The 27,204-nt window shown below is 39.3% G+C and overlaps 1 protein-coding gene and 1 long non-coding RNA gene across 9 annotated transcripts in view, besides 1 other annotated feature; one reads left to right on the forward strand and one right to left on the reverse strand.

Annotated features, from left to right (window-relative positions):
* The window catches only part of KCNN2 (potassium calcium-activated channel subfamily N member 2), a 440,519-nt gene that overhangs the window by 375,446 nt on the left and 37,869 nt on the right, over positions 1-27,204 (forward strand). For 2 of the 8 annotated variants that reach the window (NR_103458.2, NM_170775.3), the window contains exon 1: positions 2,088-2,506. The exons of the other annotated variants lie outside the window; for them this stretch is intronic. The gene's annotated coding sequence lies outside the window, so the exon portion shown is untranslated. Of the gene's footprint in view, positions 1-2,087; positions 2,507-27,204 lie in introns of those variants that run through there. 8 annotated transcript variants of the gene reach the window in all.
* The window catches only part of LOC101927078 (uncharacterized), a 325,996-nt gene continuing 314,786 nt past the window's right edge, over positions 15,995-27,204 (reverse strand). Inside the window, exons 12-13 of the long non-coding RNA NR_130785.1 lie at positions 17,140-17,380; positions 15,995-16,247 (exon numbers count right to left, since the gene is read on the reverse strand). This is a non-coding gene — a long non-coding RNA (uncharacterized LOC101927078). The remainder of the gene's footprint in view (positions 16,248-17,139; positions 17,381-27,204) is intronic.
* Positions 18,396-18,465: an enhancer, noted in NCBI's record as "active region_22922". NCBI's record gives its function as "activates an Ori minimal core promoter by ATAC-STARR-seq in GM12878 lymphoblastoid cells {active_cell/tissue: GM12878}" and the evidence as "EXISTENCE:reporter gene assay evidence [ECO:0000049][PMID:35858748]".

Genomic DNA, 27,204 nt, shown 5'->3' on the forward strand with positions numbered 1-27,204 from the left:
AGCAGTGATGCCCCCTCTTTCATTTCTGATGTTTGTAATTTTTGTCTTTTTTCCTTCATTTGCTTGTCATGAAATTTATCAATTTTATTAATCTTTTCAAAGAACTAGCTTTTGATTTTTCTGATTTTCTCCATTGACTTACTGTTTTCCACTTCATTGATATCTGCTCTAATTTTTTAATTCTTTTCCTTTTGCTTATCTTGGGGTTAAACTTCTCTTTTTCTCATTTTCTAAGGTGGAAGCTTGAATGACTGATTTTAAAACTTCCTTCTTTTCTAATATATGTGTTCAGTGCTATAAATTTCCTTCCAAGTACTGCTTTTGGTGTATCTCACAAATTTTGATACATTGTATTTTCAATTTCATTTACTTTAAAATATTTTTAAATTTCTCTTGAGAATTGTTCTGGGACCCATGTACTATTTCAGAGTTTATTGTTTAGTGTCCAGGTATTTGAGATTTTCCAGTTATCTTTGTGTTTTTGATTTCTAGTTTAATTCCATTTTGGTCTGAGAGCACATATTGTATGATTTCTATTCCTTAAAAAATTTTAAGTTATCTTTCAGGGCCCAGAATATGTCTATTTTAGTGAATATGTGTGCTTAAGAAAGTGTATTCTGCTGTTGTTGTGTAAAGTATTCTATAAATGTCAGCTAGATCCAGTTGATTGATGGTGGTCCTCAATTCAACTACGTTGTTACTGATTTTCTGCCTGTTGGATCTATGAATTACTAACAGAGAGATGTTGAAATCTCCAACTATGATAGTGGATTTGTTCTTTTCTCCTTGCAGTTCTATCAGCTTTTGCTTTATATATTTTGATGCTCTGTTGTTAGGCCCACACCCAATAAGGATTGTTATGTCTCCTTGGAAGATTGACCTTTTAACATTATGTAATGCCCCTCTTTATCTCTAATCGGCTCTTTTGCTTTGAAGTTTGCTTTGTCTGAAATTAATATAGCTACTCCAACTTTCTTTTGATTAGTATTACCATGGTATATCATTCTCTGTTGCCTTACTTTTAATTCATATGTGTCTTTATTATTAAAGTGGGTTTCTTGTGGACAACACATGGTTGAGAGGTGACAGCGTGCTGGCAGTCCTCACAGCCCTCGCTCGCTCTCGGCGCCTCCTCTGCCTGGGCTCCCACTTTGGTGGCACTTGAGGAGCCCTTCAGCCCACCGCTGCACTGTGGGAGCCCCTTTCTGGGCTGGCCAAGGCCAGAGCCGGCTCCCTCAGCTTGCAGGGAGGTGTAGAGGGAGAGGCGCGAGCGGGAACCGGGGCTGTGCGCGGCACTTGTGGGCCAGCTGGAGTTCCGGGTGGGCGTGGGCTTGGCAGGCCGCGCACGCCGAGCAGCCGGCCAGCCCTGCCGGCCCGGGCAATGAGGGGCTTAGCACCTGGGCCAGCGGCTGCGGTGGTTGTACTGGGTCCCCCAGCAGTGCCAGCTCACCAGCGCTGCGCTTGATTTCTCACTGGGCCTTAGCTGCCTTCCCGCGGGGCATGGCTGGGGACCTGCAGCCCGCCATGCCTGAACCTCCCACCCCCTCCATGGGCTCCTGTGCGGCCGGAGCCTCCCTGATGAGCGCCACCCCCTGCTCCACGGTGCCCAGTCCCATCGACCACCCAAGGGCTGAGTAGTGCGGGCGCACAGCACGGGACTGGCAGGCAGCTCCACCTGCAGCCCCTGTGCAGGATCCACTGGGTGAAGCCAGCTGGGCTCCTGAGTCTGGTGGGGCCTTGGAGAACCTTTATGTCTAGCCCAGGGATTGTAAATACACCAATTGGCATTCTGTATCTAGCTCAAGGTTTGTAAATACACCAATCAGCACCCTGTGTCTAGCTCAGGGTTTGTGAATGCACCAATCGACACTGTATCTAGCTACTCTGGTGGGGCCTTGGAGAACCTTTGTGTGGACACTCTGTATCTGTCTAATCTGGTGGGGACGTGGAGAACCTTTGTGTCTAGCTCAGGGATTGTAAACACACCAATCAGTGCCCTGTCAAAACAGACCACTCGGCTCTACCAATCAGCAGGATGTGGGTGGGGCCAGATAAGAGAATAAAAGCAGGCTACTGGAGCCAGCAGTGGCAACCCGCTCGGGTCCTCTTCAACACTGTGGAAGCTTTGTTCTTTCGCTCTTTTGCAATAAATCTTGCTACTGCTCACTCTTTGGGTCCACACTGCCTTTATGAGCTGTAACACTCACCGCGAAAGGTCTGCAGCTTCACTCCTGAAGCCAGCGAGCCCACGAGCCCACAGGGAGGAATGAACAACTCCAGATGCACCGCCTTAAGAGCTGTAACACTCACGGCGAAGGTCTGCAGCTTCACTCCTGAGCCAGCGAGACCAGGAACCCACCAGAAGGAAGAAACTCCGAACACATCCGAACATCAGAAGGAACAAACTCCAGACGGCGCCACCTTAAGAGCTGTAACACTCACCGCCAGGGTCCGGGGCTTCGTTCTTGAAGTCAGTGAGACCAAGAACCCACCAATTCCGGACGCAGTTGGGTCTTGCTTTTATTCACTCTGACAGCCTCTTTTTACTAATGTATTCAGACCATTGATGTTTAAAGTGATTATTAGTATAGTTGTATTATTATTTATCATATTTTTCTTTATTTTCTGTTCATTGCCCTTGTTCTGTTTTTTGTTAATTTTTTTGTCTTCTGCCCTTCTTCTGATTTCTGCAGTATTAATTGAGCATAATATATGATTTCACTTTTTATCCTTTTTAGCATATCAGTTATACTACTATTTTTTTTCTGTTTGGGAGGTTTCTATTGAAATATCTTCAAGCTCAGAGATTTTTTTTTCCTTCGCTATAAACAGTCTACTACTCATAAGCCCATCAAGACATTCTTTATTTTTGATAGTGTTTTGATCTCTAGCATTTCTTTTTGGTTTTTTCTTACAATTTCTATCTCTCTGCTTACCTTACCCATTTATTCTTGCGTGCTGCCTCTTTTTCCTTTAGATCCCTTAACATACTAATCATAGTTATTTTAAATCCCAGTCTGATAACCCCAACATTCCTACCATATCTGAGTCAGGTTGATGCTTGCTCTGTCTTCACACTTTTTTATTTGGAATGCCTTGTAATTTTGTGTTGAAAGCCAGATATAAGATACTGGGTAAAAGGAGCTGGGATAAACCGGTCTGTTGTAATCCCCTGGTATTATACAAGAGCCCTATTGATATCAGTAGTGGTTAGCTGTGAGAAGAAAGGAGCCATTCTGTAGTCCGGTGATTAGTTCTCAGTCGTTTAATAAGTACAGGTCCCTGGGCTGTGACTTTCATCAGTGCTTCTCAGGTTTTTTTCCTCTCCCATTTAGATGCAACAGTAAGGCTAGAAGGGGCTGAAGTGGGGGTGTTTTCCTTCCCTCAAATGCCAGATCACTCCGGGGGGAGATGGGGAATGGGGTGCCTGTAATTGGGTATTTCCCTTTTCCCAAGTGTTTTAGGCTCTGGTGAAACCCAAGGTGGTTACAGTCTGGTAAAATAATTTCCTATGAGGGCAAGCTATTGTTAAGAACAAAATGTTCTGGGCTTATAAAATGGTTACTTTTCCATTTTCTCTGCTGGAAGCAGGAGGGGATTTTTCTGTGATCTTTATCCTAAGATCCTATTGGAGCTCCTGGAAATTAAACTTAGAAAAATGTGATGCCACTCTCTACCCGTCACTCCCCACCCCTCACCCCTCACCCCTTACCCCTCACCCCAGGACCAGGCCTTCCTGAGTTTGTTTTCTCTCTCAAGCTAGTGAGTGCACAGTCTCTAGCAATTAGTCAATTACCTTTTAAGTATCATTACCTGAGGCTGGCTTCAGAGGTGGTTTTTGGGTGGTTTTTGTTCCAAGTAAGCTGTGGGTTTTCCTTATCTACCTGTGTCCCTAGTTTTGAGGGTGGTGGTTTGTCTTGTGACCTTAATTCTCTGCTAGATCTAAGAAAATTTGTTGGTTTTTAGTTTGTCACCTTTTTTTATTTTCTTGTTGTGAGGATAGGAACGATGAGTCTCAAACTCCTTTGGGCCAGAAACTGGTAGTAATGAAAAATAATGTTTCTAGACTTCATAGTATTCTATCAGGTGGATTGTGTCTCACTCTAAACAAAACTCCTTTTGAAAGCAGGAGAAAATCCTTTAGTTTGATCAAAGAGCCAAATATAGGCATCACAGAATTTGCTTTATTTTTACTCTAAAAAAAAAAGATGATTTAGATAGTATTTAGATCATTATAATGTTATTTGGGTGATTATAATTTTATATATTAAGTTATACATTTTACATTCTTTTCATTTAAGCATTCTACATCATGAGTAAATGTGAAATGTTAAGTGATAATCATTTTAAATTAAAGTCTTTTAATTTTATGTTTTTACATGAATATGAAAACAAACTTTAGTCACTGCTTCTAAAGTGAAACTATATTTTGGGTTATCTTCAAGAAGGCACAATTCCTTAAGTAGATAAGTTAATGAGCATTTGGACTTTTACTTTTGGTCATTATGCTTCTTTGTAAGGGTGCCTTAAATTTGGCTAGTTTCTGTTTTCTCTGAAGTAGGGGTTTTTATCTCTGACCACCTTGAACTGATTTGCATTGTAACTTGTTTGTCGTAATCTTTTTGCATTTGCTCTGCAAAGCTGCATTTCACACCTCTGACTGTAATGGGTCAGTCAGGGTCACCTCATTATACTTGAAATATGAAATGACACCCTGTAGGTCATCATCACCCTGCATGTCTACCAGAAATGAGAAATTGTCCTTAAGAATACACTTTGTCAGCTTGGTGTTACAAGTACCAAAGTGGTTACAGTATTTTACATTGGGTTTTGAAGTATTTTTTAAGTTTTAGGTGTTTAATCAGTGTAACAGATTTAGGAATGGTTTCCTATCAACTATGAGATAGTCTGTAACACAGTTTTTTGGATTTTAGTGTATAATCAGTTCAACTGATTCTTTTTGTTCCCCTTATGGAATCATTAAATGATCGTAAAATTAGAGCAACAAATGCCTCAGATTAAACAATCTTGATTTACTTGTATGTCATTTGATCAGATGAATAAGGCCTTAGAAAATCAACTAAATAAAGTCAGCATTCAGAGTCCTGACTTTGGCCTTGCTATTTATTATGAAATTCCACCTAGGCATACATACTTGGACGGTTGTTTGGTTTTTTCCTCACGATACTTTGTTTCTTCATCTTTTGGACTATGTGTATAACATTGACATTTAATGAAACGTATCTGTACATTTTTCATTTGGCTAAATAAAGGCATACAAGTATGAAAGGGAAAAAATCGATGAATGAATCATGCAGTTCAGCTTCCTACCATTTTTTCTAAAATCTATAGAAGCTTTGAAACAGTGCTATCCAATAGAACTTTCTGCAGTGATGGCAGTGCTCTTTGACACTATCCAATGTGATATCCACTAGCCAAATGAGGTTATTGAGCCTCTGAAATGTGGCTGGCATTATTGAGGAATTGTATTTTTTATTTTATTTAATTTTACTTAAATGTAAGTAGCACTTTGAGCTAGAGGCTACCATATTGGACAGCACAGATTTAGGTTTTATTTGTGGGTTGTTTTTTTCTTATCTATAAAATGTGTGTGTGTTTGTGTGTGTGTGTTTGTGTGTGTGTATGCGTGCATGCATGCATGTGTTGCAAGAAAAACTGAGCTTTAAGTACAAGTCTTTCATTCAAGGAAAGGTATCAAGAAGAGAAATTGGCACCAAAACAGTAGAATTGGATATATATATAGAATCTGTCCAAGAAATCATTTAAAACATAGTAAATTTGGTACACAGAATTAAATGGACTTCTTCCCAGAACAATGGAACAGCAGTCGAGGAATTGAAAACAGTGCCTGCTGGAGAAAAACAGGAAGAGAAAGAGACAGTGGGAACAGAGAGAAGGGGAGGAAGAGAGGACGTGAATGAATGCAAGTGTTATTTATTGACATTTTAGAAATTTTAATTGAGGTGATATTACTGTACTGGCTTTGTAATCTAGTAGGGGAAAAAGCTAATTTAGTCTAGCTTCTTTTTGTAGTGAAGACTCAATAGTTAAATAAACAGTGCTCTGCAGAATCTGTTTATTCCTTCAAAACAGTTAACCTTTCAGATTAAAGATGGCAAGAGCTAAAAGTAGAAAATAAAAAAGTGTTATATTGACAGGTTTGGGGACTATTGAAAGTGTTACATAGTTCAAATCCTTCTGATTAACTTGAGTTTTCCAACTACATGTGATCACATAACATACTATAGTTTGAAATTAAAGAACCAACATTTTTGTAGGACTCTCTGGTGTAAAAGGATCTTCATTCTGGGAAGGTAGAAAATCATGAGTCTGGGGAAGAGGACATTGAGAAGCAGTCACGTGTCTATTTGCCTGGGTGATATTTGAGTAAGATTTTTTCTGGATCGTCAGTAAATTTGTTTTTGGCTTTTCTAAACTTTCTTTCTTAGTTCATTTTCTTAAATATTTCTTTTTCTCTTGGTTTTTGCCTATCCCAGAAAATTATCATCCAGTTCTAGGAGCATAATAACATGTTTAAATGTTGTGACCAGTTAAAACACAAAGCCCCACTTTATCTACACCAATCTGTTAATATAATTCCTTTCACCTTTATCTCCTTCTCAGTCTTTCTAAAGCAACTGTACAGCTTTTCCTTCCTTGGAGAAAGAAAACAGATTGCCAGCAATCTGCCACATTTGAGTGTTGTGGTCTGGGTGTGACATTTCTGAGCGTAGTGATTCCAGTAGAACACACTTACTATATTTACAGTTTGAAATGTAGGAGTGCCAGATAGTAACATAAAGGGAGGTTGAAAGTTTTACATAATGAGATGCTTAGCATCAGCTCGGTTTGGATGAACTGCTCTATGGACACTAATTCCCATCACTCCATGTGACTAGATGGAATTTTGGCTGGGTCATTGGCATTTGGGAGGATTATGATAGGGGAAAGTGTGGAATTCCAGAGATGGGACATAGTGGTATTAGAAAAAATATATTTCTGTTGCAACTTTTGATCTTTTGGGGACAGGATAGAAAAGGGGCTTAGCAGCTAGAATCTCTAATTTCACGCCTCACTTAAAATAATTTATCTAGAAGATCTTTGGGAAGGTGCCATAATGTTCCCAGGGGTAGTTTAGCCATGCCAACAACAGCAACAACAACAACAACAAACAGTCTCTATGATGCTTCCTCCTGTCCCCATTTGTTGGGGAAAATGGTGATGTCACCATGCTTCAGACATTCCCCGAGCATGTTGTCACTATGCCTACCAGCCATCTTACCTTAGCACTTGGTCAAAAATAAATTCTGCCCTGGTGCCTCTTTAAGTTCTATTTTCCCCTATTTGCCTGTCTGAAAACTCCCGTTGCTCTTACGAACTGGACAACTAAAGCTGCAAAACCCTATGTTAGAGAATCTCTTTCTACAGATAAATGTGACAGCCTTGGTACAGCAATGAGTGCGTTGGAAAGCACATTTAATAACTTTCTGTGGTGTCATTATAAAATATGTTAATAGAGTGTAATTACAACATATTTTAACTGTAAATTTAACTTAGACATTATAGTGCATGCATTCAAATAAAATTCAAAGGAAAAATGTACAGTACATAAAAAAATCTGAAATTTCATATTCAGTAAAATGATAGACTTGATATTCTCATAACCTTTTGCGTAACATCTAGAGGAGCTGGACAAATGGACGCCCATAGCTAAATGGGAAGGGAAATCTCCACATGCCTACATATATGTATGAAAACATATCAGCAGAAATGCAAGTAATAAGCTGGCTCTCACGCTTCAGCTACTCTGAGGACCACTTCTAATCTTGGTAATTAAGAGCCTTAACTTTTTTAGGTTCTTTTTTTAAAGAGAAAACTGCAGTAAGAATATAATTTATATTAGAACATGGTATATAATCTCACACCCCACTGAATAGCAGATTTTGTAGCAATGTGCACAGTTCTTACTAAGGATCAGTGTTAACTACTCTTTTTTACGATTGTACTCCATTCTGTTTTATTACAAAATGCTGGTCATAATGGTGGTTCTCAGTCTTGACACCTAGGAGCCATAAAAATATATATGCCAGGGTCCCACCCTCAGTGATTCTGATTTCACTGGTCTTGGGTTGTGGCCCAGGAATCAGGGTTTTAAAAGCTCCCTGGGTGATTCTAATGCACCGCCAAGGTTAAGAACCATAGCACCAAATTGATTTCACTATGTACTAATAGAACTTGACAGCATATTTCAAAACCATTGCTCTAAAGGGATATACCTATAATAAAAGAATAGACTAAATATAAAATCTCCCACCACAGAAAGAAAGCAAACCAACAAACAAAAAAACACCCTTGATTCCCAGGCTGGGTGGGGTGTGTGCTTGGTGAGGTTATAGGGGTAGAAAGTGGTCTACCCTAAAGAATATGTAACCAAAGGCCTACTCACATATGCTTTTGAAATTATACTATGACAAGTTCAGAAATCAGCATTTAAATCCCTGGTGGGTAACACCTTGAATTGCATGGTGGAAGCAAACACTAATCTCTATGAAGGGACATACCTTGACTCAGGTTCAGCTGGGTTTTTTTTCTGACATAAGACATAAGCCTCCCTCCACCCAACCACCCAAGGCTGCAAGCTGCAACCACCATGAATTCTCTGTTTCTGGAAGTGTAACAGATCCAAAGCCAAGTAAAGAAAAAAGAAACCTACATGTAGACACATGAACGTAAAAGGAGTCAGAAAAAGAAAAGAAAAAACTTGCCACAATGATTGCTGATCCTAGAACATCCTAACATAAAAAACTAGAGCTGGAATATACTGCCTATTTCTAAACTGCTGAAAGAAGTTAACTCCTAACCTAGACTTCTATGCCTTCCTAAATTTAATTTAAAAACAAAGGCAAAATAAAGGCATTAGGTAATTAAAAAGTGAGAGTATGTACCACCAGGTCCTCACTAAAATAACTTCTAAAGGATTTCCCTCAAAAAGAGGGATGAGATCCCAGAAAGGATTTTTGACATCTTAAATGTGAGAAGGAATAGGGAGGAAAGAAAAAATAGCCCTCTGGATAAATGTAAACAAACAGGGTCTACAAATAACAAAACAACACCAAAAATGAGTACTTGGGAGGGTAAAGAAGGTTGAACTGAGGAGTTGGGTGACATGGTACAGGTGTGATTAGATTTAAAGCCTTCTAAGGGTCATGTACCTGCACTACTCAGGGGAAGTGGGGTGGGGGTGGGGGGGGCTTTGAATTCTAAGTCTACAATCAAGTATGTCTTGTTAAAAGTTATAAGTATAACCTGTAAAGTAATAAAAATAGAATGTATAACATCTAAGCAAATAGAATAGAAAAATGTGTAGTATGAAGGGAGCATATAACAAACAGGGAATTATTAATAGAAATTTGAACACAATGTGATAGCTAAAACCCACAGATGTTAGTGATCACAATAAATGATATTCTTTTTTTTATTCTAACTATATAAAGCTTACAAGAGTTATAGCTAAAACAAGTATGTCAGTGGGTTGAAAATAAAAGATTGGAAAAGATACAACAGGCAACTACTTACCAAAATGAGTTTAGTGTCACTATGTTAATATCTGATAAAGATAGTGTTAAAAGCAAAAACTAGTAGGAATAAAAAAAGATCACTACATAATGTAAACTGCAATTCACTGCAAAGTTGTAATAATTCTAAACTTGTTTGTATATATTTAATTATATAGCCTCAAAATATATAAAATAAAACAGTGAGCAAACTAGAGAAATTAATACATTTACTATTATAGTGCAAGGTTAATACAACTCAGTATTTAATGAGTCATGCAGATGAAAAAGATTATAGATGATTTGAATAACACAGTTAACAAGCTTAATCTAGCATACATATATTAAACCCTGTAGCCAATAACTAGTAAAGATACATTCCCTTCCAGCACGCATAGACTGTTTCAGTAATTGACCATATGTGATGCCATAAAATACATCTCAGTAGATTTCATAGAATTAGCATCAATGTGTAATTCATGTTCTCAGAGAACAATGCAGAAAAATTAGAAATCAAAACTCCAGAAGTAACTAAACTAAAAACATACTGTTAGTCTTCCCTCCTCCCTAGCAATAAACACTATATTCCTAGGAAAAATGTCATGATAATATGAGGGTGGCATCCTTTCAAACTGTATATAAATGTATAATTTTTTTTTCAAAACAGGGACATGTTTGTGTGATCATGTAATTTGGTTTCTGTTTGTTTTTAACTCAGCAGGCTATTACAGATATGCTGCCATGGCAGTACACACAGGTATCCCACTAGACTAGATCACTAATATATGTCTCTAAAACAAGAGCTTAGTAAACGAGGCACTTGACTTTGGGTCACCTCACTTTGCTCCTAAAGATCTATTATCCCACAGCCTGTCCCTCCAGAATTCACACTGAGAAAGAAACAAGACTGCCAGTGAGTAGCCAAAAATGCATGTTTTAAAACTTAACTGCTGTATTCATAGAAAAAATAATTGGTGGACTCAGGGATAGCTTTCTGCCTTTCATTGCATACTATTTTAGTATAGCTCAGAATCCCATTTCTCAAACACAAATTAAAAAGAGAAAAAAGCCACTGGAGTGAGGATAACAGAAGTTAGTGACAACCTGGTTGGTTCCTGGTTAGGAACAGGATAAACAAAACAGTACAAAAGTGACATTATTAGAAACCACAATCTAGAGAGATTTCACGTGGGGAAGAGACATCCCTCTCAGTGCATCACCATTACAGCAGAACGAATTATATATATACATATATATATATAATTTTCATATATTTACTGTATATATAGAGAGAGAGAGTCAATATTTGTAAATATAAGAAAAGAGTAACTTCTGTTCATTGAAGTTTGGAGGACAGGGACATTTATGTAGTGATTTTAAGGAAAAACAATGCATTTAAAAATGGAGTTGATGCAGAAAGTTACCTGGTTATAGGGGCTGAAATCATCAGGAATTTACCTATGTGGGGTGAACTTTGGCAAGTCCCTTCACCAGGCTGAACCTCAGTTTCCTCAGTGATATGACAAGCTGCTCCCATGCTTCTGTCCTGGGATACAGTTGTCTCTTTCCTGCCCTCATGCAATACATCTCTATGAATACCTCCTTTTTGAAGTATGCCTCGCCAGATGCTATTGGGGCTTATGAATGGCAAACGACGGAAGACTCAGACCATAAACCTGCCCCTCGGGTTTACAGTCTAGGAGGAAAGATGAGAGATGTGCACCAGTAACAGCAGTGCAGGGACTAAAGGATATGTAAGAGAGGGATGGAAAATACTGTGGTGTATAAAATTAAGTCTCATCGGAACAGGACCTTCAGAATATGAAACACTTGTGAACTCGGAGAGATGTGGGCAGGGGGAAAAGAGGACACACAGTAGTTCTGTTTAAGAACATAGTGCATGAGCATGGTCAGAAGGGTAAATTGGAACGTCATTTAGAGGGACCTCATGCCAGCACAAGAGATTTTTAAAGGTGTTTTTTTCACAAAGGAGTGACTATTTAAATGCTTAAGGCCGGGTGCAGTGGCTCAAGTCTGTAATCCCAGCACTGTGGGAGGCTGAGGGGGTCAGATCACGAGGTCAGGAGTTTGAGACCAGCCTGACCAACATGGTGAAACCCTGTCTTTGCTAAAAATACAAAAATTAACTGGGCGTGGTGGCGCGTGCCTGTAATCCCAGCTACTGAGGAGGCTGAGGCAGAAGAATTGCTTGAACGCAGGAGGGGGAGGTTGCAGTGAGCCGAGATCATGCCACTGACTCCAGCCTGGCGACAGAGAGAGACTCCGTCTCAAAAAAAAAGAAACAAAGAAAAAAGAAAAAAAAAAAAGAGGCTTAAGAACATGGGGGTCATTAATACAGTACTAACAGTTGATTTAAAATTTTTCTGCTTCAGTGGAAGACTTGTAGGTTATTTTCAGCATTTGGTCACATAATGTTCATTGTTCTCATGTAGAAAGAACTTTAGAATCATTAGGCTAAATGCTTCGTTGGGATTATGTAAGGAATGCCTTGCTTCCACAGTCTAAATCAGATTGAAGAGTTAAAAGGGAACAAGAACACAAGGATCTCAAATTATCCATTGCATAAAATATTTAATTTCCTATGAATAAGTGGATTTTACTAAAATTATTTTTCTGCCCTCAGGGGCTCTCAGGAAAGCAGTTTAATGAAGGGTACTGATTTTAGAAGCTCTTAAAATTTTTATAGTAGAAGTAATCTGTGAAGGCACGTGAAATAGATGCACGGGTGGCAAGTATTGAAATCTATATTGTAGTGGGTGAACCTCAGATTTACTAAGAAGCAGCCTGAACGTGTGTTTGGAAGTAAAGAGATCTGGGTTATCACTCTTCTCTGCTCCTAATTTGTCATGTGGCTGGTGATAAGAAGAAGTGTCAGGAAAGGTGGGTTGGGACCCAATTATTAATGGCTTGGGGTATATGCTAAAGCAATTGGACTTTTCATTCTAAGCAGTGGGGAATCACCTTGTTTTAGAAAGATAACTCACAGAACAATGAGAAGGATGATATAGAGAGATAGGCTGGAGACAAGGAAAGAGGTAGACTGGTAAGATGTCTGTTACAATGGACTAAGCCTCTGTCTTCTCATCACTAGAATAAGGCAGTGGAAATGGGAGTTCTCCCACTTATTCATTCACCAAGACTCTCCTTTTTGAGTACCATGTAACAGGCATGGTTCTAACCAGCACAGGGCATATTGCTTTGAGCAAGACAGAGACCACTCCTTAGCACAAGTAGTGGTAATTCCAGGTGCCATGGACCATACAGCAAGGGATACATAACCCCTTCTCAGGAGGAGGAGGGGTTAGAGTATTAAGAAATCACTGACTTCGGAATGTGAAGGACCAAAATACAGGCCAAAGTGGGGATTAAGATACAAGAAAAAAAAGACAGCATATGAGAATCCTGGAGGGGTAAGAGCAATATATGCCCCATGAATTGAAACTACTTCAGCTGGAGCTTAGGGTGCAAGTTCAGGACAGCAAAAATTAAGATTGGAGTGGCAAGCAGAGGCCAGGCCAAAAAGAATGCTCAATTTGAGAATGTTTGAAAGTGGATGCCCCAGAACGTCAGGGTTCCTTGATTTGAGGGATGAGACATAGGTAAAGGTGACTTCAACTTGTGTGATTTGATTTCAGGCACCTTGGTATTTGGAAATACCATCTTAACAGACGAAAGGAATATGGAGGGAGGACAGCTGTGTGCTGTGTAATGGCACTGATGAGAGAGCACCATTTGGGTGTCTGGGTACTATGCTGACCTGAAGCTTCACAAAAACACCTTCTTGTCTCACCAAATGAGTCTGGGGATTGGACAAAGCTGAAGAAAGCCTGCTGCTCTTCCTAGAACCTCCCCTCACTCAAATACCCCCTGAAAAAATTTTTCTCCTTGCACCCCACATTGCATCAAGTACAGTGATTTGCACAGTGTGGGTCTTCATTGTATTATTTTTCTAAACCAGCAGGTTGTTTATTTAGAACACAAAGTTTAGATGGGTTCATGATTTGTATATGATGGGAGGTCACAATTCTGAATACAGTAGTAACATAACATATGTGCTTGCATGTATATGTGTGTGTCTTTACATGTATATGTATACATGCAATGTGGGGTGCAAAGAGAAAAAGTATTTCAGGGACTATTTGGGGGATTTCTAGGAAGGGCAGCTGGCCTTCTTTAGCTGTGCCCAAGTGATTTCAGGATAAGCACCTTTTATGATAAAGTGTATGTAAATTGGATCAAATAAATCTTTAATATGATAAAAGCAAAAATGCCCTACAACATGCCTTACCTCCGTTTACTAAGAAAAAAGGGGTTATCATGAGATCCCTTTTCAATTGTAGATGTCAACATTTTAATAAAGTGTTCAGCTACCTTTGCATCCATGAGACACTTTATAAAAATATTACTTATCAGTAAAATACACAAGTTAAGAAACAAACACTTTAATTAAATTGCACAGAGCAAAAGAAAGCTTTAGTTGGCTGCATTATTCTTCACACTGTGTTTTAAAACTATTTCTATGTAAGCTAAGTAGCTACACAAATAGTCACACCATTGGAAGCATCTGTTTAAAAATGTTTGACATGCATCAAAATACACAAAGTAATAAAAAGATCATCTCTATATGTATTCCATTACTTTTTTCCTGTAGTTTGCTAGTATTGCTATCAATATGCATATCACTAAACAATATATAAAATTATCTTGTAAATGTATAAATTAAGCCTTGCTTCTGTTATTTCTTCAGTAGCATGCCAGGTGAGCAGAACCTCAGTACTGGGTAATGAGAGACACTCTCTTTTATTCTAGTTGTTTGATTTGGAAAGCAATGCATCCCAAAAGCATCTACCCTGCAGTAACCTTTTTGTGGATCCCACCTTGGGCACCAGCTGTTTCCCACAGTATGGGCAGGATCACGGGAAGTGACCAGCATAGGCTTAATAGGAAGAACAAGGGTGCTTTGCAAGCCTGTGAAGCCTAGGATAATTCTTCACTTCTTGTGGATGTCAGAATTTCTGGATAGACGTTACTGGCCTCCTCCCCTGGCCCCAGTACTTGGTACAGTCTTCCTATGAACTAGGGGAGTACTACCTGTCTGAGTAAACTAATATACAAAAATGAGTCTAAACTCATTTCTTTAAAGTATTCGACTTATTTTCCTTGTCCAAGAAGCATCACAACAAAATAACCAAATGACAGAAGCGCATAGAATACTGTGTCAAATATGTATATATAAAGTCTTGGAAATTGGGGAAGGTATTATATCTTCTGTGTCCTATTTTACTTTGGCAAAGAGGAAGTTCTTAGTGAATCTTAATGGCTAAATTGAAATAGCCCTGTTATGAAAGCATTTATATATGTGTTCTGTGGATCTCACAACTTGGCTCTCTGGTCCTTGCTGTCCAACATGGCAGCCAATAACATCATACGGCTATTTAATTTATATTTTATTTTTTGAGACAGAGTCTCGCCTTGTTGCCCAGGCTGGAGTGCAGCGGTGTGATCTCAGCTCCCTGCCACCTCCGTCTCCCAGGTTCAAGCTATTCTCCTGCCTCAGCCTCCCAAGCAGCTGGAATTACAGGCATGCACCTCTGTGCCCGGCTAATTTTTGTAATTTTTTTGGTAGAGACAGGGTTTCACCATGTCGGCCAGGCTGGTCTCGAACTCCTGACCTCAAGTGATCCAGCTGCCTCAGCCTCCCAAATTTCTGAGATTACAGGCATGAGTCACTACACCTGGCCTTTAAATTTAATTTTAATTGCCTGCAATCTACTTGGAAGGCTGAAGCAGGATAATTGCTTGAATCAGGGAGGTCGAAGTTGCAGTGAGCCGAGATCACACCACTGCGCTCCAGACTGGGTGACAGAGCAAGACTCTGTCTCAGTCGATCAATCAATCAAAATTTTAATTTATTAAAATGACATAAACTTAAAAATCTAGTTCCTCATTTGACACTATTCATCTTCAGGTGCTCAGTAGACACATGTGGCTAGTGGCCACTGTGTTGCACAGCACAGATATTGAATATTTTCATTATTTTTGCAGAAAGTTATTTTGAACAGTGCTGTAGTGCAGCTCCTATTTCCTTTTCTAATATGCTTCCAGGTCAGATATTTCCTATAAGCTTCCTCAAAGCCTATGTAGAACACATGCAAATACTTATTTATATCCTCTAGAGCACCCCTGTGGCTACCAAGCTGGGCACATAGTAATTCTTAGCCTGATTGGTAGAATGGAGGAGAAAGCTGGTTTTGATCCTTTTGACTTTCACCTGCCTAGTGGCCATTTAAGTTCACTGCACTGAGAACTGAATGGTTTTAGATCCAGCTATTGTATTTGGCTAAGAGTTTGACTGTCATCAGCCTAATTTTGTTATTTTAATAGAAGGAAATGTCTCTGGGTTTGATAGGTTCTTGTTTGGGAAGTATAGTTTAACAGAGGTAGAATTTAAGAAGATGTCCTGTGTTTGTTTTGAAGAGAGATGACTGACAAACATTTTGCACAACTGAGCTCAAGCTCATGGGTCTGTTTGATTTTTGTAATTCTGATCCTCGATGGCCTTTGGTTAACTGCAAAACAGTCAAAGTGCAGAGGCTATTCTCTCTCCAAGCTTCCCTTTGCAGTATTCCATCCTATTGATTCCTGCATTACCTATGGGGAAAAAAAAAGTTTGTTAGACCAATTTAGTGAGCCAGAATTGTGATTCTGTTCAGGAAAATGTCTGCTGTATTTGTCATTGCTAGTCATTTTACAAGTGTATTTTGATGAGCTGAGTATGTACCACACTTTACGAAGGGTGCGCTTTTTCCTTTTTGCTTCTACAGGTGAAAACCTTCAACCAGGAAGCATTTTTATCATTTTAAATTCCAAAAATACTAATATTTAAGAATAATGAAATATTGAATTGCCTTTTTCTTTTCACCTTTTTTTCTGGATTAGTTGGAAACTTTATAGGAACTAGTGAAAGCTACATGATCTATTTGTGGATAGTGCTGGAAAACAAGGCTGGCTTTTTAAGTAATTAGTAGGCTGGCTGGCATTGAAAGTTTTGGGGTTTTCGTGATTTATGTAGTGATTTTTCTCCAACCATTATATGTTTACAAAATTTTACTTGCAGTTATTTTCACTCTTTTATTCACTTTCTCACTTTCAGCTCCCCTATCTCATCCTTTCTTGTTACCCAACTCTTCTTTTCTTCCCTTCATTTCTTATTTTCTGCCTGTATAAAAATATTTTTCCGGCTTTAACACAACATATTGTGTCAGTTCCAGATCTCTACAAGGGTGTTCTGAAGCCTTTATGGAGTAGGGGACTGGTGGGTCTTAGCGGTGATGGTTTGAGTTTGAGACAGCTTCGTTCACTACACTGTGCTCCTCCTGCATGAACCTAGACCTGTGTTTTAATTCAGTTCCTGACATTTTGGCATTGAAGTCTATATTTTAGCTGCCCATGCTGAATCAAGCAAGGTGCAATTAGGAGGCATTCTAAGACTAATTTTTAGAATTGAAGTGGGAAAATTTAACTGGTAAACCTTGAAAATGACCTTCCCAGAAAATCTGTGCTCATTCTCCTCAGCCTGTCTGGAATCATCTTCATCTGAGAACTCTCTCAGCTCGCTGGGTTTGGTGGCTCAGTTTTCTGACTCTGCTTCTTATCTCTCCCCGAGGAATAATGCAATGACATTCAGGAATGTTCTGCTTCCCTAGAAACATAGCTTGAAACTGTGAAGTGCTGGAGGCTAAGACTTCTTGTCATTGTTTGTTCTACGTAGGAATTTTCATTTGCTGTATTTTGAAAATTAAAAATTTAGAATCAATTTGTGATAACTGCGTACTGTAGATGGGGCACCTTAAGCTGGTTGATTTGGATCAGTGGCGCATATTTTTTTCTCAGTTGACTGAGAGCCCTAAACAGAAGCCCTGTCAAAAAATTCTCAGGAATACGTGACTGATACTAGACATAGAGATGTACGTCCTCCCTCGGCCTGCCACCCTGGAGATTGAAGTGCTAGTGTTGGTAGGAGAGGCAGCTGAGGGGGCCCAAAAATGAAATGGCACAGAACGATCGTGAGCTTTCTTTTTTCATTTGGACTTCTTGTCACTGAACTTCCCACTTTCTTCCTGGTTTCATTTTGTGGCCTGCTGTACCCTCACCCTATGTTGCTCCTGCCTTTCCAAGGGACCTCTGACTAACCTTTTCCTCTCCCTCCTCTCCTTCTCCAGCCCTCTTTTCAGTCTTTGTCATACTAGTTACTGTGCTCATTGGCAGTGGCAGCAAAACGTAGTGTAGGGTAGAAGGGAGCAAAACCAAAGCTGCGCATACTCTGAGCAGCCCTCAGGTATGTCACCTTGCTTCTGTGCAAGAAGGCCCACTTCCAAAAGTAATGACTTTTCTTTGTATCTACTTTTACGTAAATAGAGTACTTGCTGAATATAGAGCACACAGTCTGTACACTGATGAGGACTTGGGTAGCGTTTTGTTATCTCCGTGCTCACAGCCACCTGGTGAGGTAGACAGTCTGTTCTCTTAGAGAAAAGCGAGGCTCAGACATTAGGATGCACTGCTGTGGGTCATGCAGAACAAGAGGTGGGGCAGCACCTCTGAACCCAGCTCAGTTCCTCCTTGCCTCTTGTCTCAGAGCAAGTGAACAAGACCCTGACTTTTATATCTTCAAATGCAGGTTCATTTCCAACATTGCCTAGTTAAAAATATCCACAGGGATTTTTTTTTTCCTTACAGATTTAAGAGATAAGATCTGGTCTTTGATCTTGAGAATCTCAGAGGGGTGAAATGTACAGATGCTGCCTCCTCAGATCTGCTACCTTAGATTGGATTTAGAATAGAGTAAGCATCCAAACATACACACACACACACACACACACACACACACGCGCGCGCTCGCGTGCGCGCACTCTTCCCTTAGAAGAGCCCTTAACCCAGAATGGGGGCTTTCCCTGCAGGGTATTCCCACAACATCACCTCACAGCCCTCCTCTAGCACTGATCTGGCTGAACTCTGCAGAGCAGCTGTGGGGATAAACTGGTGTGGCACTGCCACCTAGTGACTGCCCGCCACACCGTTCTTTGCCTCTGAGGTGCCGTGCATCCGTCAGCTGGCCGCTACCCATCATGGAAAATCATAGTGGGGGCTTCTAAAAATAGAGTCTGCCAGGCCAGTGTCAACATGCTTTCTCTGCTATCAGCAGAGCCTGGCACACATCAGACATGGATTAGATTAAGTGTTTTTGAAAAAGTGGTTTTTTGGGTAAGGGAATCTTTGGGCCTGGTCGAGCATGGCTCCATCTGTCTGCTGGGGTTCCAGTTTCCTCTTGGAGGAGCTCACAGTGTGCACAGGATGCCTGGCACGCAGCAGGAGCTGAATGAATAGAGGTTGCCCCGCAATGTTTAAATATCCACTGGTCTGGAAGTTAGAAAAGGAACAGGAGGAAAGAGAAACTTGGTCAGAAATGCTAGTCCTGGTTAAAACATTGTTCTGGATTTTGATATTTTTTGATTTCCCAGAAAGTATCAGGGGCTTGAGAATATAATTCTCTTCAGGCGTTTTTGCCAAATTCCAAGATTTTCCAGTTTCACTACTTTCCAGATGTGTTGATATGAAGCCAGCTCCAGATTGTCTGATGGCCATTACTAGAGTCCCAGCTGCCCTGAAACTCTAGGCCAGTGGTTCAGAACAGGAGTAATACCGCCCCCAGGGGAATTATGGAAATTAGTGGAGAATTTTTTTTCTTGTTGCTGCCTTGGGCCAGGGATGCTGTGTATCTGTTACGCATTTAACAAAACACTGTTCTACATCCCACTTGACTTCAGATTGACCTACTGGATATTACATATAACAAAAACCTGTTTATAATTTTCTTAGCTTAGACCTAAATTCATTTTAAATAAGGACATAAAATAGTTTTGCTCAGTAGTAATCAACATTTAATTTTCAAATAATGTAATTTTCTAATAATATATAAATTGGGGGAAATTATTAGTGATACCGTCTGTGTTCTTATAGGTTTTTAACATAGTAGTGAAAGTTATATAGGTGTAAGATTTGAGACTTTTAACTTATTGACAGATAAGTCATTGCTGAAGTCACTTATTCCAATATGACATGTAAATGCATAGTGAATAATAGAGTTAGAAAACAAAACCTCTTTGTCCTCTCAGGGAAACACGATAAATGTAATTCTTCAAGTTTGAAAATTTGTGGATGTTCTATCATTCCCTTTTCCATTGGGACATCGAACTTTATTTTAAAGTAAGCTTATGCTCTTAGAACATAGCCGCTGATGGTCTGGAGACAAAAAAGTAAGTTGTCTATATCCCAAGTGTGAATGAAACTGTCATTAGCCAAGGTTAATGCATGAAAAGAAACCGGACATTTTACAGAACCATGCCCCGCCAAACATACGCACACACACACAGGGAGAGAGAAAAGGGGTTAGCTTTGACATTTTTCTCAATGAAAAGAAGAGAGGAAGACATTCCAAATGTGCAAAATTAAAGGAGCAAAAGAAAATCAAGGTGAAAATACTCACTTTGGCATTTTAGAGTCAATAAAGAATTATATAATTTATAAAAATTCAAGGCTGGAGGCGGTGGCTCAAGCCTGTAATCCCAGCACTTTGGGAGGCCAAGGCGGGCGGATTATGAGGTCAGGAGATCAAGACCATCCTGCCTAACATGGTGAAACCCCATCTCTACTAAAAATACAAAAAAATTAGCCAGGCATGGTAGCGGGTGCCTGTAGTCTCAGCTACTTGGGAGGCTGAGGCAGCAGAATGGCGTGAACCCGGGTGGCGGAGCTTGCAGTGAGCCAAGATCACGCCACTACACTCCAGCCTGGGTGACAGAGCAAGACACTGTCTCAAAAAAAAAAAAAAAAGAATCAAATGGAATCCTGCCTAAATTAAAGCTGGGCTTTAGATGTAGCAGCATTATACTGCCTGTTGCCACTGCTGCTTCTCTTTGTTTACTTACTAATATTAAAGGAAGTCTGTATTGAAATCCTCAAGATCCTAAAGCCATGTTTATGTTTTCATAACTCAGTTATAGGGAAAAAATAGGAGTGCAAGGAGGGGACTATGAGAACGTCAAATAGATTGGGGCAGTTTACATTCTCATACGTTCTATAAATTAGTTCCAGAGAGAGTAGTTTCATACATAAAACTACAGCATTTATACTTTAGAGCACCCTCACTTAGGGAGGTTTTTATTAAAGTGTTTGGACTTACTGGATTTTACATTTTATTTGAATTTAGAACTGTAATTTTAGGTGTCAGTGATGGAACATTATTAGACACTCATGTCATCATTTTCAATCTGTTGCATATATTTTTCTTTGATAGGTCTTTACATCTGGTGTTCACATTTATTACAGCTTGCATATTACCTTACTCCTTGCAACCAGTTTTCTGCCTTACCACATTTTAAGCTTCTCATGAATGCTTACTATTTTTACTCATCTACATATTCTCAGTGCCTCCAAAAGTTTCTTTACATGTAGATGTTCACCATGTTATTGAATGAGAAACTCCTGAAATAAAGCTAATTGATGGTTCTCAGACTAGATAGCACATTAAAATCATCTGGGGAGCTTTTAAAAAATCCCTGTGCCATGGCTTCACCCCCGGAGACCTCAGCTTCATTGTTTACGGATGGGGCTTTGCACAGGATTCCTTTTAACACTTCCCAGGTGGCTCCAATATGCAGCTACAGGTGAATATGCCGCTACAGTGAATAGCTACGTGTGAATATCAGCAACAAGTAAGAGACACGTTAGCTCTTTCTTCTGAGCCATTGGCAGTAAGCTCTTTTCCTTTTGAACTTAGATATGTACCTTCTTTGAATTTCTTTTTATGCTTATATGTTCTAATTAATTGAAGCAGTTATTTTATTTGCCTTTACTTCAAATGAAAACTACATGCACATAGTTGCAATTTGGAAGGAGACCATTTATCAGACTCCTTGCATCTCTCTGAGCCTGCAGCTGGTGGACACGGCAATATCAGCTTTGTTACTGAAATTAAACGGATTTGGACACCACCACTTGCCCTACAGCCACATGGGCTTTCTAATGTTCTGCTGATTTACCACTGAATTTGAAAAAAGTCGTAGGTGTACCCTCACACTGAGGGAGTCACTCTGTGTCCCAGGTGAGCTTACCACATAGAAAACCCCATACACCTGCTTTGTGGGCAAGCCAAGGAAAGAGAGGGCCTGATCTATGCCTGCTCAGTTCCTACTGCCAGATTTTTCATCCCTCCCCTGTACAAAACAAGAGATGCATTGCCTACCTCTTTTCCTCCCAACACACATACACACTACTTAAAACAAATAATGTTAGAGGCAAGCATTTGAATATTTAGCTCGGTCTATTTTTCTCCTCTTAGAAACTTTTTAAGATCTTTTCTTTATTCCTGGTATTTAAAAATTTACAGTCATCTGCCATGACTTAGGTCATTTCTTATTTCGTATACATATTCTCAGTAGAATCTTCCCTTTAGAGATAGATGTGTGCCTTCCAGTTTTCCAGTCAAAGAAATAGAAGAACACTATTTCTTTTCTTCCACTGTCCATATTATCCTTCTGGAAAGATAGTTGTTGGAACCTCTATTTTAATTGTCTGAGAATGTATCTTTTTTGTTCTCCTCTTCTCTTTTTGCTTTTTTCTACTTTCTGGGAAATTTCTGTCAACTTACATTCTAACTGCATTACGGTTACTTTTTCATCATAAGTTGGTGTTGTATAGTTGTATTCCACTTTTCCTCTTCCTATTAATGCAATTTTTTTTTAACTTTCAGTTCCTGTGATACATGTGCTGAATGTGTAGGTTTGTTACATTGATATACATGTGTCATGGTGGTTTGCTGCACCTGTCAACCCGTCATCTAGGTTTTAAGCCCCACACGCATTAGGTATTTGTCCTAATGCTGTCCCTGTCCTGTCTCACCACACCCCAGTAGGCCCCGGTATGTGATGTTCCCTGCCCTGTGTCCACGCATTCTCATTGTTGAACTCCCACTTACGAGTGAGAACATGCGGTGTTTGGTTTTCTGTTCCCGTGTTAGTTTGCTGAGAATGATGGTTTCCAGCTTCATCCATGTCCCTGCAAAGGACATGAACTCATTCTTTTTATGGCTGCATAGTAAAGTTTTTATTTAGCCTTTTTGTAGTATAATTTACATAGTTCAGGAGTCCTGTCCCCTCATCACTCTACATCATCTCAGGTTTGTTCTGTTTCCTCCCTTCCCTTCCTTTCTTTCTTCCTCCCTCCTTTTTGTGTCTTTTCGATAGAAATCAGATTCAAGTGTGTGCTGATCATTTGCCATTCTCTCGTATTAAGAGTGGCAATTGGAAGCCAGTTGGAAGCTCGGTAAGGGTAAGGGTTTACTGTTTGATGACAATCACTGTGGGGTGATAGTTGAGTTTTTCATTAGGGAATTCTTGATATTATTAATACATGAATGTCTTTCCTGAGAAGTTGTCCTGTTTCTCCAGGGAAAAATATTCTTTCTCTGTATTATCAAATTCTAATATTAGGGTCAGGTATGGGAAGTGAAGGAAAGAGACTAGAAATGCTACTGTTCAGCTTAGAAACTTGAACTTAAGGCCCCAAACATTTCTTCTGCCCTTGGCTGGGCCCTAAGTCTCTGAGTATCCAGTGTATCCCCAGAGAATGAACCTATCTCCTGTGAGTTGTCTGTTGATACCAGGCAGGGCAGGTACGTGCGTATCCATCATTCTGTATACTTACAGTTAATCAGTTCCCCTGGTTTTAGCTTTGGACTTTATCCACACATTTTGTGGTACTTGGTTTCTCCAAGTTGTGACACTTCCACGGGTTCTATGACAATTTGTGCCTTCGAATTGGGGGTACACAGACCATTTATATTTAATGTGGTTACAGATACGCTTATGTAAATCTCTCCTGTTGCTATTTGTTTACTATTTGCTCCATCTCTTTTTTTCCTTTATTTCTGGCTCTCTTGGGATTTTTTTTAATATTCAATTTTCTATCCTTTATTGAGTTATCAGCTATTCTTTTTCAATGTGTTACTTCAGTGGTTCCTTTGGGGTTTATGGCACACAGGCTTACCTCATTTTATTGTGCTTCACTTTATTGTGTTTCACAGATACTGCATTTTTTACAAACTGAAGGACTGTGTCAGTGCTGCATCGAGCTAGGCGATCAGCATCATTTTTTCCATAGCACATGCTCAGTTGGTGTCTTTGTGTCACATTTTGGTAATTCTTGTAGCTTCTCAAACTTTTTCATTATTGTACCTCTTATGGTGATTTATGATCAGGGATCTTTGATATTACAATTCTATTTATCTTGGGGTTCCATGAATCAAGCCCATAAGAGAAGGCAAACTTAAATGATAAATGTTGTGTGTGTTGACTGCTTCACCAACTAGCTGTTCCCCCATCTCTCTCACTTTTATCTGGCTTTCCTATTCCCTGAAACGCAGTGATACTTAAATGAGGCCAACTAATGACCTACAATGGCTTCCAAGTGTTCACGTGACAAGAAGGATTGCGTATCTCTCACTTTCAATCAAAAACTAGACATGATTAAGCTTAATGAGGAAGGCATTTCAAAAGCTGGGATAAGCTGAAAGCTAGGCTTCTTATACCAAACATTTATCCAAGTTGTGAATGCAAAGGAAAAGTTGAAGGAAATTAAAAGTGCTACTCCAGTGAACACATGAATAATAGGAAACAAAACAGCCTTAATGCGGTTATGGAGAAAGTTTGAGTAGTCTGGATAGAAGATAAAACAAGCTGCAACATTTCCTCAAGCCAAAGCCTAATCCATACAAGGTCCTAACTCTCTTCAGTTCTTTGAAGGCTGAGAGAGGTGAGGAAGCTGCAGAAGAAAAGCTTGAAGCCAGCAGAGGTTGGTTCATTAGATTTAAGGAAAGAAACCATCTTTATAACATAAAAGCAAGGTGAAGCAGGAAGTGCTGATGTGGCGACAGCAAGGTGTCCACATGTGATCTAGCTAAGATCGTTGAAGGTGGCTACAATAAACAATAGATTTTCAATGTAGATGAAACAGGCTTCTATTGGAAAAATATGTCATCTAGGAATTCCATAGCTAGAGTGGAGAAGTTAATGCCTGGCTTCAAAGTTTCAAAGGACACATGAACTGTCTTGTTAGGTACTAATGCTGCTGGTGACTCTGAGTTGAAGGCAATCCTGATTTACCATGCTGAAAAACCTAGGGCCGTTAAGAATTATACTAAATCTACTTTGCCTGTGCCCTGTAAATGGAACAACAAAGCCTGGATGACAGCACATCTGTTTATAGCATCATTTACTGAATATTTTAAGCCACTTTTGAGTTCTGTTGCTCAAAACAAACAAACAAAAAAAGACTTCTCTGAAATTATTACTGATCACTGACAATGCACTTGGTCACCCAAGATCTCCGATGGAGATGGACAAGATTAGTGTTGTTTTCATGCCTGCTAACAAAACATCTATTCTGCAGCACACAGATCAAGGAGTAATTATGACTCTCAAGTCATATTATTTCAAAAATACATTTTGTAAGGCTATAGCTGATGGAGCTAGGCAAAGTAAATTGAAAACCTTCTGGAAAGGATTAATTTATTCTACATGCCATTAAGAACATCTGTGATTCAGGGAAGGAGGTCAAAATAGCAACATTAACAGGAGTTTGGAAGAAGTTGATTCTAAACCTCATGGATAACTTGAAAGGATTCAAATTTCAACAGAAGAAGTAGCTGCAGGTATAATGGAAATAGCAAGATAACTAGAAATATTAATAGAAGTAGAGCCTGAATAAGTGATTGAATTGCTGCAATCTCATGATCAAATTTGAATGTATGGGGCGTTTGCTTTGCTTCCTATGGATCAGCAAATAAACTGTTTCTTGAGATGGAATCTACTCCTGGAGAAGATGCTGTGAACATTGTTGAAATGACAACAAAGACTTTAGAAAATACATAAACTTAGTTGATAAAGCTGTGTCACGGTTTGGGAGGATTGATTCCAATTTTGAAAGAAGTTCTATGGGTAAAATGCTATCATATAGCATCATATGCTATAGATAAATCTTTCCTGAAAGAAAGAGTCCATTGATGTGGCAAACTTCATTGCTGTGTTATTTTAAGAAATTGCCACAGCCATCTCAACCTTCAGCAAGCACCACCCTGATCAGTCAGCAGCCATCAACACTGAGGCAAGACCCTCCACCAGAAAAAAGATTATGACTCATTGAAGACTTAAATCCATAGAATTTTTGAGCAATACAGCACTCTTCAATTAAGGTATATACATTTTTTAAGACATCATGCTATAGCACACTTAATAGAACTACAGTATAGTATACACATAACAACATTTTTAGAAACTGGGAAACAAATTTGTGTGACTTGCTTTGTTGAAATATTTGCATGATTGCAGTGATCTGCATCTGAACCTGCAATATCCCCCAGGTATGACTGCACTTACACACTTAGGCATACTATACCTATGTTATCACAGTCTTTCTTCACCTGATAGTATATACTATCTTTTACTGCAGTCTATCTTCAAGCGGTACTGTATCACTTCACATAGATGAGTTTTCAGCTTAATAATCAAGCAGAACCCTATGAAGTTCTCTGCATGTGTCTCTGTACAGGTCTCTCCTTTTTGATTTTTGCCCTTTTGAATTCTTAACCTCCCTGGATTTCCAGCTCTGTCCTTCAACAGAGGGAGACCTCCAGGCAGTGCCAGGTTTCCTTCCCTGAGCTGCACCTGAGAGATTCTCTTTAGTCATTAAAGTGGGGGCCATTGTATTGCTCAGTTGTTTTCCATCTCTCAAGAATCACTGTCCTTTGTTGCTAGATAACCAATGTCTTGATAACCATTGTATCAAATATTTTATCTGCTTTTTTAGTTGTTTCAGGAGAGAGTATAAATCTAGTTCTCTGTTGCTCCATCTTGGCTGAAAGCAAATTACACAGTAATTGACATAAGAATGTGTTGTTTCTTCTTCTCTGATGTCTCCTTTCATTTCCCTTTGTTCTTGTTGGTTTACACCTTTTAAAAAAAATGCATTGCTGTCACTTTAATGGTATTTCAGGAGAGAGGTGGATTCCAGAAAGAGAACTGATGGTGGATTGATCACATGCATTTACATCTCCATAATACTTCTCACTAACTATGGCTGACATTTGAGACCAGAGCTGACATTTGAGATGAGATTTTTTTTCCATTTTTAGTATTACTGGTAAATTTAATAGAAAAGGATTAATGAACACAATTTGTTAGCTGTTAACCTCCACGACTGAATTATTTTTACAGATATAAAAATACCTTCTAAGTTGCACACAGATCTTGGAACATAACACGACAAATCCAATTTATGTTCACTGATGAGCAAGAATTATTTTTATCCACTTTTTATATGTCTATGTGTATAATCCTAAAAATCTAGCATGTGGCCCAAGGCAAGTCAACTTGAGGACATGTTTCCCTTTGTCACATTAATTACTTCAAATATTACTTCCCTGCTATGTTTTTGTAAGCATCTGTGACTATACAACAATGAATAAGGCATAGTCGTTATCTTCAAATTCTTT

Source organism: Homo sapiens, chromosome 5, assembly GCF_000001405.40.
Source record: "Homo sapiens chromosome 5, GRCh38.p14 Primary Assembly".
Classification (NCBI taxonomy): Eukaryota; Metazoa; Chordata; class Mammalia; order Primates; family Hominidae; genus Homo; species Homo sapiens.